Source organism: Homo sapiens, chromosome Y (assembly GCF_000001405.40).
Source record: "Homo sapiens chromosome Y, GRCh38.p14 Primary Assembly".
NCBI classification, from domain to species: Eukaryota; Metazoa; Chordata; class Mammalia; order Primates; family Hominidae; genus Homo; species Homo sapiens.
Window position 1 is genome coordinate 10,189,998 of NC_000024.10, and position 17,752 is coordinate 10,207,749.

Here is a 17,752-nt window from a genome sequence, read left to right on the forward strand (position 1 = left end):
CAGTAAGTGAATTATGCTATTCCTTTCCAATTTCCCAAGCACTTTTTGTCCCAATCACCATTTCTGTGTTCGAAGAAAAAGTAGCAAATCAATTAACAAAACTAAACAAGCAAACAAACAAAACCCAACTACGGTATCTGCAAAAGTTTGGTAGAAGACTGAAAATGTTGAGTGTAAGGATCTGGTATTCTATTATCATTAGTTAACTTAAGAGTTTGTTAAAGACATTCATTTCATAAGAAAACATGTTAGTTTGAAGTTATTGAACAGTATGTATCACCCCTAAGTATTAGTAACCACATTCATGACAATAAAGAGCTATCTAACAAAAAAAATTATTGACTACCAGCACCATCAACAAGACTTTGTCTTTACACTTCATTACCACTTACCATATATTATAATGTCTAGGATTGACTCTGATAGTATTTCAAAAACAAGCTAATGCTTTGTCCATTCTTCAGTTAAGACAAACTCATGCCCTAATAGAGTATAGGCATAAGCATAATTTGGATCCACTTGGATAGCTCTCTGGAAGAATTTAATTGCAATATCGTGTTCCTGTTGCAGACTAAAACAGTTCCCTGCAGCACACCAGGCCTCTGGTGAATTTTTATCCATGTCTGTTAAGTCTTTTGACAGAACTGAAAGAGCAACATGTTTTTGAAGATGCCAAAGTGTTGTAGAGTAGATTTCCATGGCTTTGACTCTATAATTCTCAATCCTTCTAACCTCTGAGAATATTCTTTCAGCTTGCATGTACACTGAAAGTTCAAAATAGACCCTTCCAATTTGGCACAGTACGCAACCAGAATTGTAGTGGTGAGAAGGTAGATGGCTCAAAATATTTATAGCTTCTTTGCAGTGGTATGAACACAAAGCTAAATAACCTTTCCCCTTTTCAGGAAGAAGCCTCATCAAGCCTTCTGCTGCTGCTTTTTGTAGATTAATGCCTGAATCTCAGGTGTGATTGTGGATATTTTCCCTTCTGAGTTGATGGAAGAGTCCATTTTTGTAATTTCCAGGCTGTCATTTATATTAGGCTGAGATATTCCTCCTTTATTTGTTTCACTTTTTGTTTTTCTGTTTGGGATTTTAAGTGGAAACTTCATTTTTAATTTCTTCCTATTCTTCTTGGTTGTGGAACTGTCACTAGTAAAGAGTTGTGAACTTTTTTGATGCAGTGCATTTGGGGGAGATGTCATAGTGGGGCTCAATACCTGAGGTGTTGTACTTGTTTAGGGACCAGGACTTTCTGTTTGTGAAAGAATTGGAGTTACCTCTCGGCTATTTCCACTCTGTGAGAAGACAGATTTTGCTGCAGTTTGGCCGATTCTGGCAACAGATTTTTTGAAGGGTCTCCGGTGGATGACACATCAATTACAGAAGGTGTATCAGTGTAGTTTTGGAAATAGGATCCATCTCAAGGACTTGGGGTTTCTAATGGCAAAATCCCAGAACTTGGGGTTAATGGACTAAGAGCTGCTGGTCCTCTTAATAAACTTCGACCAGTTTTTGGTTTATTTTGAACCTGTTTAGATAATATGGAAGTTCCTATTCCCAGTGGGACAGTATCAGGTGAAATTACAGCTGAATCAATAGAAGACACTGGGGAATCTGTGTTCAAGGAATACTTTGAATTGGAAGATTCTAAATTCAATCTGTTTAATTCAGTTGTGTCCTGGGGTGTTTCCGTAAGAAAGGTCTCAGGCTGTTTGTGACATAAACTATGATTAGGTACTTGTGTTGTGCAAGAGTTGGGCAGACAGTTGCTAAAGTTCTGTAAAGATGTGAATTTAAATGTTTGGTCAGGATATGGATTTTCATCTATTTCACATAATGATTCAAGGGATACCAGATGAAAGGATTTAAACTAAGGCTCTTTTGGTAGTATTCTGATCCTTTGACAAGCCGATCTGTCTTGCAATATACATGTCCCAACAATGGAAGGGGAAAGCAAGCTGAATCACCAAACTTGGTAACAATATCATCATGGCTTTTCTGCTTATGAAACACCCCACCAGATAAGATTTGTTCCCCTTCTGCAAGCTTGCTGAGATCAACACAACATTTTGCAAGCAGGTATTTGCATTGCGGTGTAGGAAAACTGTGTACTTTGAAGAGACTATATGCGTTATAGGCCTTTCCTGGGTAGTAAGAACAGGTCGCCAGTAAAAACAAGGCTTCTTCTGAGTGTACTTCTGCATAAAGGCATTCTGCGGGGAAAACCCCATCTAGGTAAGCATAGTGGTTTAGTGCTTCCCATATAGCAGGCTGGACGGGTTCCTGCAGCACCGTCATCCTCGAGGCTCAGACCCAATTTCTGCAGTGCCTCAGGTACCCCTTCCACCCCTCCCACCTCCCTCCCCTCAATAGCGTCTCCGGCCCGGCCAGCCTGGGCTCATTTAAACTCACCAGTTTTGTGGGTTGCCTGTTCACTCTGATGGTAGTTTCTTTTGCTGTACAGAAGCTCTTTAGTTTAATTAGATCCCATTTGTCAATTTTGGCTTTTGTTGCCATTGCTTTTGGTGTTTTAGACATGAAGTCCTTGCCCAGGCCTATGTCCTGAAAGGTAATACCTAGGTTTTCTTCTAGTGTTTTTATGGTTTCAGGTCTAACATTTAAGTCTTTAATCCATCTTGAATTGATTTTTGTATAAGGTGTAAGGAAGAGATCCAGTTTCAGCTTTCTACATATGGCTAGCCAGTTTTCCCAGGACCATTTATTAAATAGGGAATCCTTTCCCCATTGCTTGTTTTTCTCAGGTTTGTCAAAGATCAGATAGTTGTAGATTTGTGGCATTATTTCTGAGGGCTCTGTTCTGTTCCATTGATCTATATCTCTGTTTTGGTAACAGTACCATGCTGTTTTGGTTACTGTAGTCTTGTAGTATAGTTTGAAGTCAGGTAGTGTGATGCCTCCAGCTTTGTTCTTTCGGCTTAGGATTGACTTGGAGATGTAGGCTCTTTTTTGGTCCATATGAACTTTAAAGTAGCTTTTTCCAATTCTGTGAAGAAAGTCATTGGTAGCTTGATGGGGATGGCAAAGGGATCTAGAACTAGAAATACCATTTGACCCAGCCATCGCATTACTGGGTATATACCCAAAGGACTATAAATCATGCTGCTATAAAGACACATACACATGTATGTTTATTGTGGCACTATTCACAATAGCAAAGACTTGGAACCAATTCAAATGTCCAACTATGATAGACTGGATTAAGAAAATGTGACACATATACACCGTGGAATACTATGCAGCCATAAAAAATGATGAGTTCATGTCCTTTGTAGGGACATGGATGAAATTGGAAATCATCATTCTCAGTAAACTATCACAAGGACAAAAAACCAAACACCACATGTTCTCACTCATAGGTGGGTATTGAACAATGAGAACACATGGACACAGGAAGGGGAACATCACACTCTGGGAACTGTTGTGGGGTGGGGGAGGGGGGCAGGGATAGCATTAGGAGATAATATGTAGTGTTAGATGACGAGTTAATGGGTGTAGCACACCAGCATGGCACATGTATACATATGTAACTAACCTGCACATTGTGCGCATGTCCCCTAAAATTTAAAGTATAATAATAATAATAATAATAAATAAACTCACCAGTTACCAGGGGATGGGGGAGGCCAAGCCAGAATGACTTCTTTACCCTGCCAACTCTGGGAAGCCCAGCCCCTTGTGATCCATTGCAAAGCAAGAGTCACCTCATATTTGGAAAACGAATGCACTCCCAAGTTCAGTGGAGGGATGTGGCATGTAGGATGAAGGACTCTCTTCCTTCTGATTTGGTCTGCATAGTGGGGCCTAGGGCTGGAGCTCTCTCTGTGCGGACTGCTGACTCCCTCTACCTTGGGTTCCATTGGCCCCAGCCTGGGACATGGGCCTTGGCAGATTCTGGCCCTTCCTGGCCCTTACGTCGCTGTCAGAAACCCCATCTTGTGCTCGGATGCCCCAGTGACTGTGGCTCGTGCCTTTCTGGAAACACTGGAAATCTCTCCTCTATGCATGGTCACCTAAAACCCCAGGAGCTCAGGACACAGGGCCGCCATCCACCTCACTGCTTTCAGAAGAGAATGCTGAGAGTCTCTTACAGACTCTCTCTTGACTTGAGTTCTTCATGGGTGTGTGGTTAAGATGTAGTGAGACCAGATGTATTAACTCAGGCGGGGTGCTGGTGGCTCACGTCTGTACTCCCAACATTTTGGGAGGCTGAGGCTGTAGGATCCCTTGAGGAATTGCCTAACCCTGAGGACGTTGAGGCTGCAGTGAGTGAGCCATAATGGTGTCACTGCACTCCAGTCTCGGCAAAAGACAGAGTGAGGCCCTGTCACAGGCCGGCAGGCAGGCAGGCAGAAAGACAACAGCTGTATTATGTTCTTCTCAGGGTAGGAAGTAAAAATTACAGAATACAGCACTTATTTTATTTTTTTTGGACAGTTTCACTCTTGTTGCCCACGCTGGAGTGCAAGGGCACCGTCATGGCTCACCGCAACCTCCTCCTGCCATGTTCAAGCAATTCTCCTGCTTCAGCCTCCTGAGTAGCTGGGATTACCGGCGTGTGCCACCACACCCGGCTGATTTTGTATTGTTAGTAGAGACGACATTTCTCTATGTGGGTCATGCGGGTCTCAAACTGGCAACCTCAGGTGATCTGCCCACCTTGGCCTCCCAAAGTGCTGGGATGACAGGAGTGAACAATTGCGCCCGCCCGGCTATGTTTTTTTTTTTTAATTTTCAATTTTAATCTATTTAATCTTCTTATTATTTTTTGAGATGGAGTCTCGCTCTCTTGCCCAGACTGGAGTGCAGTGGCATGATGTCGGCTCACTGCAAGCTCTGCCTCCCGGGTTCATGCCATTCTCCTGTCTCAGCCTCCCAAGTAGCTGGGACTACAGGCGCCCGCCACCACACCTGGCTAACTTTTTGTATTTTGAGTAGAGACGGGGTTCTTGTGGTAGCCAGGATGGTCTCTATCTCCTGACCTCCGTGATCCACCCGCCTCGGCCTCCCAAAGTGCTGGGATTACAGGCGTGAGCCACCGCGCCCGGCCTATTTATCTATTTATTAACTTTGTGTCCAGGTTAGGAAACCACGTAGTTTTTGTATTTTTTTAGAGACGAGATTTCACCATGTTGCCAAGGCTCCGGATCGAGGGATCCACCTTCCCTTGCTCCCAAAGGGCAGGGATGACAGGCGTGAGCCTACCGCGCCCGGCTCCCCCTTCCCCCCTCCAGCTTATCCCTCAGGTGCCTGAGGCCCAGCAGTGCTGTGTGGTTCCCACCCCCAGCGCCCCCTCCTCCAGTCACCGCCGCGGTGTCTGCAAATGGGTCCTAAGGGAGCTCGTTGGTGTGGGGGTTGAGGCGGTAGATGGAGACGTGCCCCTCCCATGCAGGGAAGGGCTCCGCCTGGTCTGGCGAACTCAGGTCCAGTGCTCCCCTCTGGTGGGTGCGCGCTGGCTGTGTGAGCGATCGCGGTGGGCTCGGGCAGGCGACGCGTGCGCCGGCCGGCCGCCGAGGGGGCTACCGTTCTGCCTCCGACAGGTTGTGTGTGGGTTTACTTGGAGGTGCTTTGCCTGGGAGAAAGGAGGCGGGTGGACGGGGCGGGGGCCCTTGCGGGATTGCGCGCACGCGCAGTGGTCAGGACCCCCGCCCAGACTGCGACGGCTCAAGGTTCCCACACGCAGAATTTTCCTGGTATGCAGGCCCCCTCCCTTCCCCAGGCGTCCCTGAGCACCTCTGCGGGCCTGACGAGGGGCGACTGGGGGTAGGGAGTGTGACCCACCCTCAGTGAGAAAGCCTTCTGTAGCGATCCAAGAGGTGTGCATTTGGGGTACGGGATCCCCCGGCCTGCCGCCTCTCTCTGCGTTATGGTAGCGCTGCCATAGCGACTCGCTTGCAGAGGACCCTCCTCCGCTTCCCCCTCGACGGGGTGAGGGGGGGAGATGGAGGGTTCCACAGGCCTCCGCGGTGGGGACTGGGGGCGGCTCATCCTTTCCAGATGGGGGAGGATCCCAGCGGTCGGTGCCGGCGTCCTAGCGGTTGGGAGGCTATGCAAGCGGTGGCTGTGCCTGGCATTCCGTCCGGCGCATGACCCGCTCCACTGTGAGCCGGCTCTCCGCCCGCTCGCCTGGGGAGCAGCGACTGGTGCCGATGACCGTGTTTGCGTGGCACGGGGTTGGGCCACCTGGCCCTGGGAAGCATCCCAAGTGGGGGCCACGCCGGTCTCCCGGAGCTTAACCGGGTGGGAGGATGGACGAGAAATGAGCAACGTGGCCCTGGCGTTGGGTTTGTGGCTGAGGTCGCTTTGGGGTCCCGATGGCGGGAACCAGGGCTCGTGAGGCGGGTCTCGGTGGGTGCCGAGGGCCATCTGGCGTCCTAGGCGGGCTGCCGAGGGACCTCCCTCGTGTCTGTGGTGGTGGGATCCCATGGTCGCGTTTTCCTGGTGGCCCGGCCATGCCTGAGGTTTCTCCCCGAGCCGCCCCTCTGTGGGCTCCCGGGTGACCTTGCCCTCGCGGTCCCTGGTGTTTCCTGTCTGTGACCCCCACCCCACCCGCGGATCCTCTCTCCCTGAGCGGCTCACCCGCTTAGGCTGTGGTGGCCCCCTCTGGGACCAAACCCAGCTCTGCCTTGTGGGGCGCTGCCGGGGGCCACTGGTTGGCCCTTTGTTCGTGTCCCCGGGTGTGCACCTTCGGGACCAGGTGGGCGGCGCCCCGCGTGGGCCTGGTGGGCGCCCGGAGGGTTTGGAGTCAGCCTGCGGCGCGTGCAGGAAAGAGGGTTCCGGGGGCTGGCCGTGACGGCGGCGGCGATGGGGGAGCCGCAGGCCCGCCGAAGGCCAGTCGACCACTCCTGGTACCGCGCAGGGTCGCCTTCGTGCTCGGAGGCCGCTGGTGGTGAGACCCTGGGCACTGCAGTCCGCCTGTGGTTCGCTGCCCAAACGTTGGGGCCGCCCCGTGCCGGCCTTGCACGAGTGGCTGCTGGTCACTCACAGCTGCCACGCACGGGTCGGGTGGTCTGCCTCCTCGCACGTTGGTGCGAAGGGTTCGGAGTGGTGAGCAGGTCGGGGGATGTTGTGTCATGTGGGTGTATGGGATGTCCGGTTTGCCCCACCACCACCCCCCTCCCACCGCCCCACGTTGCTTCCCTCCCTCCCACATACCCCGTTGCCTTCCCTGCCATGCCCATCCTCACGACTTGGACTCCTGGCTCATCCTCGTGAGGCCCGGAGGCCGCTTTCTACCTACATGGTTGATCCTACCAGAACCATATGCTTGTCTCAAAGATTAAGCCATACATGTCTAAGTACGCAGGGCCGGTCCAGTGAAACTGCAAATGGCTCATTAAATCAGTTATGGTTCTTTTGGTCACTCGCTCCTCTCCTAATTGGAAAACTGTGGTAATTCTAAATCTAATACATGCCAAAGGGCGCTGACCCCCTTCGCGGGGAAGATGCGTGCATTTATCAGATCAAAACCAACCCAGTCAGCCCCTCTCCAGCCCCGGCCGGAGGGTCAGGTGCCACCAGCTTTTGTGACACTAGATAACCTCAGGCCAATGGCATGCCCCCAGTGGCAGCGACGACCCATTCAAAAATCTGCCTTATCAACTTTCGATGGTAGTTGCTGTGCCTACCACGGTGACCATGGGTGATGGGGAATCAGGGTTCCACTCTGAAGAGGGAGCCTGAGAAACAGCTACCACATTCAAGGAAGGCAGCAGGTGCAAAAATTACCCACTCCCGACCGGGGGAGGTACTGATGAAAAATAACAATACAGGACTCTTTCGAGGCCCTGTAATTGAAATGAGTCTACTTTAAATCCTTTAGGAGGATCCATTGGAGGGCAAGTCTGGTGCCAGCAGCCACAGTAATTCCAGCTCCAATAGCATATATTAAAGTTGTTAAAAAGCCCGTAGTTAGATCTTGGGAGTGGGCGGGCAGGCTAGCCATGGACCGTCCCCGCCCCTTGCCTCTCAGCACCCCCTCGATGTTCTTAGCTGAGTGTCCCGTGGCCCAAAGCGTTTACTTTGAAAAAGTTAGACTGTTCAAAGCAGGCCTGAGCCACCTAGATATCTCAGCTAGGAATGATGGAATAGAACCGCCATTCTTTTTTGTTGGTTTTCAGGACTGAGGCCATGATTAAGAGGGATGGCTGGGGGCATTCGTATTGTGCCACTAGAGGTGAAATTCTTGGACTGGTGCAGTTCGGACCAGAGCTAAAGCATTTGCCAAGAATGTTTTCATTAACCAAGAACGAAAGTCGGAGTTTCGAAGACGATCAGATACCGTCGTTGTTCCGACCATAAACGATGCCAACTGGTGATGCAGCGGTGTTATTTCCATGACCCGCTGGGCAGCTTCCCAGAAACCAAAGTCTTTGGGTTTTTGGGTTCCCAGGCGAGTATGGTTGCAAAGCTGAAACTTAAAGGAATTGGTGGAAGGGCACCACCAGGAGTGGAGCCTGCAGCTTAATTTGACTCAATATGGGAAACCTCACCCGGCCCGGACATGGACAGGATTGACAGATTGATAGGTCTTTCTTGATTCCATGGGTGGTGGTGCATGGCCTTAGTTGGTGGAGTGATTTGTCTGGTTAATTCCGATAATGAAGGAGACTCTGGCATGCTAACTAGTTACGCGACCCCCAAGCGGTCAGCATCCCCCAACTTCTTAGAGGGATAAGTGGCATTTAGCCACCCGAGATTGAGAAATAACACGTCTGTGATGCCCTTAGATGTCTGGGGCTGCACGCACGCTACAGTGACTGGCTCAGCGTGTGCCTACCCTACGTGGCAGACGCGGGTAACCTGTTGAACACCATTGGTGATGGTGATCGGGGATTGCAATTATTCCCCATGAATGACGAATTCCCAGTAAGTGTGGGTCATAGGCTTGCGTGAAGTCCCTACCCTTTGTACACACTGCCAGTCGCTACTACTGATTGGATGGTTTAGTGAGGCCCTTGGATCGGCCCCGCCGGGTCAGCCCACTGCCCTGGTGGAGCACTGAGAAGACAGTCGAACTTGACTATCTAGAGGAAGTAAAAGTCATAACAAAATTTCCATAGTTGAACCTGTCGAGGGATCATTAACGGAGAAGAGCAAAGCTGCAGAGGCGCTACTGCGTCCTTCCTTCTTGGCCGACTGTGTTCCCCATGCGGCACGTGTGCTGGCGGGGTTGTGCCATTTGTTTGTTGCATGGCCCCGCCTGCCCCGAGAGCCAGAGAACTCGGGAGGGAGAGAGAGGGTAGAGAGAGACACACGTGCGGGGATGAAACTGTGTGTGCGAGTCGGGGGGCGGGCTGGATGGCTCACCGGCCTGGTGAGCAGCGGGGAACTGTCCCCTGCCGTGGCCCCCACATGTGTGTCGGCGGGCGTGGGGGTGGTTCTTGGCATCACGACGAGTTGTGGGTCTCTGTGTCCTCTCCGCCGGGGCTGTCATCCCTCCCTGTCCTGCCGGCTCGGCCCCATCCCACCTGCTCCCATTGGGGCCGGCCAGGTTCGCATCGCTGCCACTGCCACCATCATCGCATCTGCCACACCGCTCCACCTGGCCCGGCCTGGCCCACTGGCTCTCCCCAGCCTTCCCACTAGGGCTTCTCGAGGGTAGGGGGCTGGACGCCAGCCCCCACTCCTTGTCCGCCTCCACCATCCAGGTACCCAGCTCGTTCTGGTGCGGAGGTTTAAGGACCCCTTGGGGGGGGTCATCAGTCCACCCGTGGGTTGGGTGCTGTGGGCCCACGGGGGAGTCCATTTGGGAGGGGTCTGCCCCTCCCTCACCTCCACTGCTGACTCCGTCTCCCCAGCTGCCGGGGCCGCGCTGCACTTGCATGTCGCCGCTGATGCCGGTGGGGGCTGTACACAGTGGCCATCGTGCTGTCGCATGTGTGCCACGCATGTGGCGTATGCCCTGTGCTGTGGGGGCAGGAACCCCAGGGAGCCCGTGGGGTGGTGTCAGCATTTGTCCCTCCCACCCCCATGGACGGCACCACCTCCCCATGTTGTGAAACCTTCCAACCCCTCTCTGGAGTCTCGTCCCATTGCTGTCTGACTGGCCGGCCTGAGGTAACCCCTCTGGGGGACGTGCTGTGCCAGGAGGGCCTCCCATTGTTGGGAGCGCCCTTGCCAAATTGACCTTGTATGACTTTTAGCGGTGGATCACTCGGCTCCTGCGTTGATGAAGAATGCAGCTAGCTGTGAGAATTAATGTGAATTGCAGGACACATTGATCATCGACACTTCGAACGCACTTGCGGCCCGGGTTCCTCCCAGGGCTATGCCTGTCTGAGCTTTGCTTGCCAATCATTAGCCCCTGAGGGTGCCCCCAGGCTCCCTGGGGTGCACGGCTGGGGGTTCCATGGCAGGGCCCACTGGGGACCTCCATCCCCCCAAGTGCAGACCCGGCGACATCCGCCCTCCTCTCCTGCCATGCCTGCCCCTTCCCCCCCACCCCCACCACAGGTCCTGTGTGGTCACGGGTTGGGTGGTGTGGGGAAGAGGGGCTCCTGGCTGTGAGGAAGAGAGAGAGAGTGGAGCCATCACCTGCAAAAACAGAGAGGGAAGAGAGCCCACTGGGGTCGAGTTCCTGTGGCCACCACCACGGTCCTGTTTCTTCCCTCGGGGGCTCCCTCCTGCCTCACACAGCTCGTAGTGCAGGGTTTGTTGGTGCTGGTGGGGTGGATGGTCCTGTGCCATCATTGTCGTTGCGCATCATCGGTGGTGGGGGCTTGTTGGGCGGGGAGGATGGCAAGTAGGAAGGGTCCACTGGGGAGAGGGTGGGGGAGCGTGTCCCAGTTGCCGCAATTTGCTGCCCACCCCTGGTGGCAGCCCGGCGACTGGCCGACCGCCGCTCCAGTGCCCCTCCTCCCCATCACCCCTCCCAGGCACCGTCCTCTTCTCCTGCCTGCCCCCCACCTGCCTGGCTTGTGACGCGGTGTGTCCGGGGCCAGAAGCCCACCAAGCGGCCCATCTGGCAGCGTTCATGGCCATGGTCCCGGGGTTCGTTTGCCCCTGGTGATGGTCCCCTGGATGCTACAGTGTCATATGCCATCAGGTGCCCACCTCCTGCTCTTGGCTGCGCGGTGCCTGGCGCCCCGTCCAGAGCTTTGATGTCAGGGCGGAATGGTGCTGCCACATCCTTGGACCCGTCCCCCACCTACATTTAGTACATAGGCAATCCCATGTAACTTATCAAAGCTAGCAAGTCCCTAGACTTGGTGCAGCCACTGTAGGGGTGGCCTCCCAGTAGCATCATTAACATCAATTGTAATTGGTAGGCAATCACTTAGTTTCACATTTCATTACCTGAGTTATACAAATGTGTAAAAAAATACAGTTTTAATAAAAGGGAGTAAAGGATAATAAGAGTAATATTCACAATCTCTAGTTGGAAGATGTAGTGTTTTCTCACAAATGATGCATTCCTGGAGCAAGGTCATTTTGTGTTTGGTTTGTTAAATATCTATTTCCTTTTTGACAAACCACTGGAAAATCCCAGCTTCACAAGAACTCTCCATGAGAACGATCACAGAAAAGAACACCCATAACACAAAATCAAAACAAGGGTGCTCCGGGATTCACATTAAAGACTCATTACCAAGTTTTCTTAGAAGAGATAAAGTACACAAAGTTACTTTTGTGTGACGGAAAACAGAGAAAAAGAGTAAATAGAAAAATAAATGTTATGCAACATCAGTGAAAACCAAGCTGTGGAAAAAAATGAATGGAATTGTTTTGTTTGCTATTGATTTCCTATCCTGATATCAGAAAGTACAGGAAAGAACAAAGCACATTTTTTTGAGACAAATAGAACATAAAACAGATGAATGTTAAAAACTATTTTACAGTGCTAACAAAACTATCTGTGACTTGTTTTTTCCCTTTAAAAATTCGATTTTGCACAATTACATTTATATAAATTATTGAAATAAAATTGTAAAGATGGAGAACAGACTATGGGGTTGCCAAGCGGAAGGGGTGGAGGAAAACGTGTCAGAGTGTCAGCAAAGATTGCAAGTTGGAACCTGGTGGTGAGGCTACGGTTCTGTATCTTGACTGTGGAAGTGGTAGTTACAGAGATCTACACCACATAAAAATGCACAGAACACACTCACACACATACACACATACAAAAATGAATGCATACAAAACGGTTGCGATCTGAGTAAGCTTTCTGAATTGTACCTATGTCAGTTTCCAGGTTTTGATAATGCTCTATGGCTATGGGAGATGCCACCACTGGAATTAGTGAAGAGTACCTAAGACATCCCTGTACATTTTGCAACTTCCTGTGAATCTATAGTTATTTCAAAAGAAACTTGAAAGTCATAGCAGACTTTCACTTCAAAGAGGAAAGAAACTGAAGATTAATGGAATTGTTGAAGAACATCAAATATGCAATAATCTGTATGAGAGCTGTATTCTGTCCATTCACAGCACAGCTGTCATTTAGCCTTTTCCTGACGTGCCCTGGAGGACTTGAGCTCCTCTTGGATTGTCAAGGCCAATAGTGTTTATTTGTTACTAAATTTGTACTGGACCACCAAAAAATGAAAATTGATTGAATAATCATTTATAATAACAACAAGTAATTTTACTTATAAAGAGACAATAATGGTAACAGATTTAAATCTTTAGGGTAAAGAATAGGATCTTTGTAAGACAATATTGGCAAAATTTAAAAAGAAAATTAAGGAATCAGGAACATAAGTAGTTCAGTATTGTGAAAAAATTCTTGATCTGAGAAGCAAAAGAACAGTATTTCTGTTTTGCGTTTCTGCTCCAAACCTGATGAATCACCTTAGGCAATGCATGCCCTTTCCCTGAATATGTTTTCTTTTCTGCAAAATAAAGTGAGATAGATCATCTCCAAGGTCCCCCAAATATTCACATTTTCGCCTCCACATGAACTTCAGTTGAATTCCTAATTTCAGTGTGGATAATACATGTGTGCTGCACCACAAGCAGTATGTCTAAACTCTCATGTTGGTCCTAAAAACTAATTATGAACAGTTTGGAAATTCTGTTGTTGTAGAATCAGCAAAGGGATATTTGTGAGCGCTTTGAGGCCATGGTGAAAAAGGAAATACCTTCACATAAAAACTCTAAAGAAGGTTTGGGAGAAACTGCTTTGTGATGTCTGCATTCATCTCACAGAGTTAAACGTTTCATTCCTTTGATAAGTCTGGAAACTCAGTTCTTGTACAATCTGCAAAGTGATATTTGTGAGTGCTTTGAGGTCTATGGTGAAAAAGGAAATATCTTCACATAAAAACTAGACAGAAGCTTTCTGAAAAACTACTTTGTGACATGTGCATTCATCTCACAGAGTTAAACCATTCTTTTGATTGAAAAGCTTGGAAATGGTGTTCTTGCAGAATCTGCAGAGGGATATTTGTGAGTGCTTTGAGGCCTATGGTGAAAAAGGAAATATCTTCACATAAAAACTAGAAAGAAGGATTATGAGAAACTGCTTTGTGATGTGTGCATTCATCTCACAGAGGTAAAGGCTTCTTTTCATTGAGCAGATTGGAAACTCTGTTCTTGTAGGATCCACAAAGGGGTATTTGTGAGCAGTTTGAGGCCTATCGTGAAAAAGGAAATATCATCCCATAAAAACTTGACAGAAGTTTCTGAGAAACTTCCTGTTTGTGTGTGCATTCTTTGGATTGGGCAGTTTGGAAACAGTATTTTTGTAGAATTGTCAAAGAGATATTTGTGAGCACATGGAAGCCAATGGTGAAAAAGGAAATATCTTCACATAAAAACTAGAGAGAAGCTTTCTGAGAAACTGTTTTGTGATGTGTGCATTCATCTCAGAGTTGAACCATTCTTTTGATTGAGTAGTTTGGTAACAGTCTTTTTGTAGAATCTGCAAAGGGATATTTGTGAGTGCTTTGAAGCCTATGGTGAAAAAGGAAATATCTTCACATAAAAAACTAGAAGGAAGGTTTTTGAGAAACTACTTTGTGATGTGTGAATGAATCTCACAGAGTTGAACCTTTCTATTGATTGAGCATTTTGGAAACAGTCTTTTTGAAGAATCTGCAAAGGGATATTTGTGAACACTTTGAGGCCTATGGTGAAAAAGTAAATATCTTCACATGAAAACTAGACAGAAGCTTTCTGAGACACATCTGTGTGATGTGTGCACTCATCTCACAGAGTTGAACCATTCCTTTGAGAAGTTCACCAACAGTCTTTTTGTAGAATATGCAAGGGGATATTTGTGAGTGCTTTGAGGCCTATGGTGAAAAAGAAAATATCTTCACATAAAAACTAGACAGAAGGTTTCTGAGAAACTGCTCTGCAATGTGTGCATTCATCTCACAGAGGTAAACGTTTCTTTTCATGTAGCAGATGGGAAGCTCTTTTCTTGTAGAATCTGCAAAGGGATATTTGTGAGCAGTTTGAGGCCTATGGTGAAAAAGGAAATATCATCGCATAAAAACGTGACAGAAGTTTCTGAGAAAATTCCTAGCTATGTGTGCATTCATCTCACAGAGTTGAATGATTCTTTTGATTAAGCAGTTTGGAAACAGTATTTTTGTAGAATCAGCAAAGGGATATTTTTCAGCTCTCTGAGCCTTATGGTGAAAAAGGAAATATCTTCAATAAAAACTATAAGAATGTTTCTGAGAAGCTGTTTTGCAAGGTGTGCATTCAACACAGAGAGATAAAAGTTTCTATTCTTTGATGAGTCTGGAAACTCTATTCTTGTAAAATCTGCAATGGGATATTTGTGAGAAGCTTGAGGCCTATGGTGAAAAAGGAAATATCTTCACATAAAAACTAGACAGAAGATTTCAGAGAAACTTCTTTGTGATATGTGCATTCATCTCAAAGAGTTGAACCATTCTTTTGAATGAGAAGTTTGGAAACAGTCTTTTCAGAGAATCTGCAAAGGCATATTTTGAGCGTGTTGATAGGTATGGTGAAAAGGGAAATATCTTCACAAAAAAACTGGACAGAAGCTTTCTGAGAAACTTATTTGTGATGTGTGCATTCATTTCACAGAGTTGAACCTTTCTTTTGATTGAGCAGTTTGGAAAGAGTCCTTTTCTATAATTTTCTAGAATCTGCAGAGGGATATATGTGAGCCCTTTATGGCCTAAGTTGAAATAGGAAATATATTCACATAGAAACTAGACAGAAGCATTCTGAGAAACTGCTTTGTGAAGTGTGCTTTCATCTCACAGTGTTGAACCTCCCTTTTGATTGAGGAGTCTGGAAACAGTCTTTCTGTAGAATATGCAAATGGATATTTGGAGCTCTTTGAGGCCTAAGGTGAAAAAGGAAATATCCTCACATAAAAACTAGACAGAAGCATTCTGAGAAACTTCTTTGTGATGTATACATTCATCTCACAGAGTTGAACCTTTCTTCTGATTGAGGAGTTTCAAAACAGTCCTTTTGTAGAATCTGCAAAGGGATATTTGTGAGCCCATTGAGGCCTACGGTGAAATAGGAAATATCTTCACATAAAAACTAGTCAGAAGATTTCTGAGAAACTTCTTTGTGATGTGTGTTTTCATCCCACAGAGTTGAACCTTTCTTTTGATTGAGCAGTTTGGAAACACACTTTTTGTAAAATCTGCAAATGGATATTTGAAGCACTTTGAGGACTATGGTGAAAAAGGAAATATCTTCACATAAAAACTAGAAAGCAACATTCTATGAAACTTCTTTGTGATGTGTTCTTTCATCTCACAGAGTTGAACCTTTCTATTCATTGAGGAGATCAGAAACCATCTTTTTGTAGAATCTGCATATGGATATTTGGAGCAGTTTGAAGACTTGCTGAGAAAGGAAATATCTTCACATAAAAACTAGACAGAAGCATTCTGAGAAACTTCTTGGTGACATGTGCATTTACCACACAGAGTTGAACCTTTCTTTTGATTGAACAGCTTGGAAACAATCTTTATATAGTATCTCCAGAGGGATGTTTGAGAGTGGTTTGAGGCTTATGGTGAAAAAGGAAATATATTCACATAAAAACTAGACAGAAGCTTTCTGAGAAACTTCTTTGTGATGTATGAATTCATCTCACAGTGTTGAATCTTTCATTGGATTGAGCAGTTTGGAAACAATCCTTTTGTAGAATCTGCAAAGGTATATTTCTGAGCCCATTGAGGTCTATGGTGAAATATGAAATATCTTCCCATAAAAACTAGACTGAAGGTTTCTAAGAAACTTCTTTGTGATCTGTGCTTCCATCTCACAGAGTTGAACCTCTCTTTTGATTGAGCAGTTTGGAAATACTCTTTTTGTAGAATCTGCAAATGGATATTTGGAGCACTTTGAGGCCCATGGTAAAAAAGGAAATATCTTCACATAAAAACTAAATGGAAGCTTTCTGAGAAACTTTTTTGTGATGTGTGCATTCATCTCACAGAGTTGAACAGTTCTTTTGATTGAGCAGTTAGAAATAGACTTTTCATAGAATCCACAAATGTATATTTGAAGCAGTTTTAGGTCTATGGTGAAAAAGGAAACTTTTCACATAAAAACTAGACAGAAGCATTCTGAGAAACTTCTTTGTGATGAGAGCTTTCATCTCACAGAGTTTAACCTTTCTTTTCATGGAGCAGTTTGGAAACAGTCTTTTTGTAGAATCTGCAAAGGGAATATTTGTGAGCCGTTTGAGGCATGTGGTGAAAAAGTAAATGCCTTCACATAAAAACTAGATAGATGTATTTTGAGAAACCTCTTGGACGTTTGAATTCATCTCACAGGGTTGAACCTTTCTTTTCATTGAACAGTTTGGAAACAGTCTTTTTGTACAATCTGCAAAGGGATATTTCTGAGCCATTTGAGGCTTATGGTGAAAAAGAAATATCTTCCCACAAAAACTAGACAGAAGCATTCTTAGAAACTACTTTGTGATGTGTCCATTCATCTCACGGAGTTGAAACTTTCTTTTGATTGAGCAGTTTGGTAACAGCATTTTTGTAGCATCTGCAAAGGTATATTTGTGAGCCCTTTATGGCCTAGGGTGAAATAGGAAATATCTTCATATAAAAACTAAACAGTAGCTTTCTGAGAAACTTCTCTGTGATTTATGCTTTCATCTCACAGAGTTGAACATTTCCTTCGATTAAGCAGGTTGGAAGCAGTGTTTTGTACAATCTGCAAATGGATATTTGGAGCCCTTTGAGGCCTATGGTGAAAAAGGAAATATCTTCACATAAAAATTAGATGGAAGCATTCTGAGAAACTTTTTGGTGACGTTTGTATTCATCTCACACAGTCGAACATTTCTTTGATTGAAGATTTGGAAACAGTCTTTTTGTAAAATCTACAAAGGGATAATTGTGAAGCCTTTGAGGCCTATGGTGAAGTAGGAAATATCTTCATATAAAAACTACACAGAAACATTCTGAGAAACTTTTTTGTGATGGGTGATATAGGAAATATCTTCACATAAAAGCTAGACAGACGCTTTCTGAGAAACTTCTTTTAAATGAGTGCTTTCATCTCAAGGAGTTGAGCACTTCTTTTGACTGAGCAGTTTGGAAAAACTCTTTTTGCAGAATCTGCAAATGGATAATTGAAGCGCTTTGAGGCCTATGGTGAAAAAGGAAATATCTTCACATAAAAACTAAACAGAAGCTTTCTGATAAACTACTTTGTAATGCATGCATTCATCTCACAGTGTTGAAACTTTTGATTGAGCAGTTTGTAAATGTCTTTTTGTAGAATCTGCAAATGGATATCTGTAGTGCTTTGAGGCCAA

General features: G+C 46.5%; 4 pseudogenes, besides 3 other annotated features; 2 read left to right on the forward strand and 2 right to left on the reverse strand.

Moving 5' to 3' along the window:
* Positions 373–2,418, reverse strand: CDC27P2 (cell division cycle 27 pseudogene 2; annotated as a pseudogene).
* Positions 3,933–7,202, reverse strand: LOC101059962 (serine/threonine-protein phosphatase 1 regulatory subunit 10-like; annotated as a pseudogene).
* RNA18SP2 (RNA, 18S ribosomal pseudogene 2) lies at positions 7,260–9,107 on the forward strand (annotated as a pseudogene).
* Positions 10,158–10,309, forward strand: RNA5-8SP6 (RNA, 5.8S ribosomal pseudogene 6; annotated as a pseudogene).
* Positions 14,579–15,499: an enhancer, noted in NCBI's record as "OCT4-NANOG hESC enhancer chrY:10042185-10043105 (GRCh37/hg19 assembly coordinates)". NCBI's record gives its function as "activates a minimal SCP1, AML or CMV promoter by ChIP-STARR-seq in primed H9 embryonic stem cells {active_cell/tissue: H9 hESC(primed)}" and the evidence as "EXISTENCE:reporter gene assay evidence [ECO:0000049][PMID:30033119]".
* Positions 15,500–16,419: an enhancer, noted in NCBI's record as "OCT4-NANOG hESC enhancer chrY:10043106-10044025 (GRCh37/hg19 assembly coordinates)". NCBI's record gives its function as "activates a minimal SCP1, AML or CMV promoter by ChIP-STARR-seq in primed H9 embryonic stem cells {active_cell/tissue: H9 hESC(primed)}" and the evidence as "EXISTENCE:reporter gene assay evidence [ECO:0000049][PMID:30033119]".
* Positions 16,573–17,074: an enhancer, noted in NCBI's record as "NANOG hESC enhancer chrY:10044179-10044680 (GRCh37/hg19 assembly coordinates)". NCBI's record gives its function as "activates a minimal SCP1, AML or CMV promoter by ChIP-STARR-seq in primed H9 embryonic stem cells {active_cell/tissue: H9 hESC(primed)}" and the evidence as "EXISTENCE:reporter gene assay evidence [ECO:0000049][PMID:30033119]".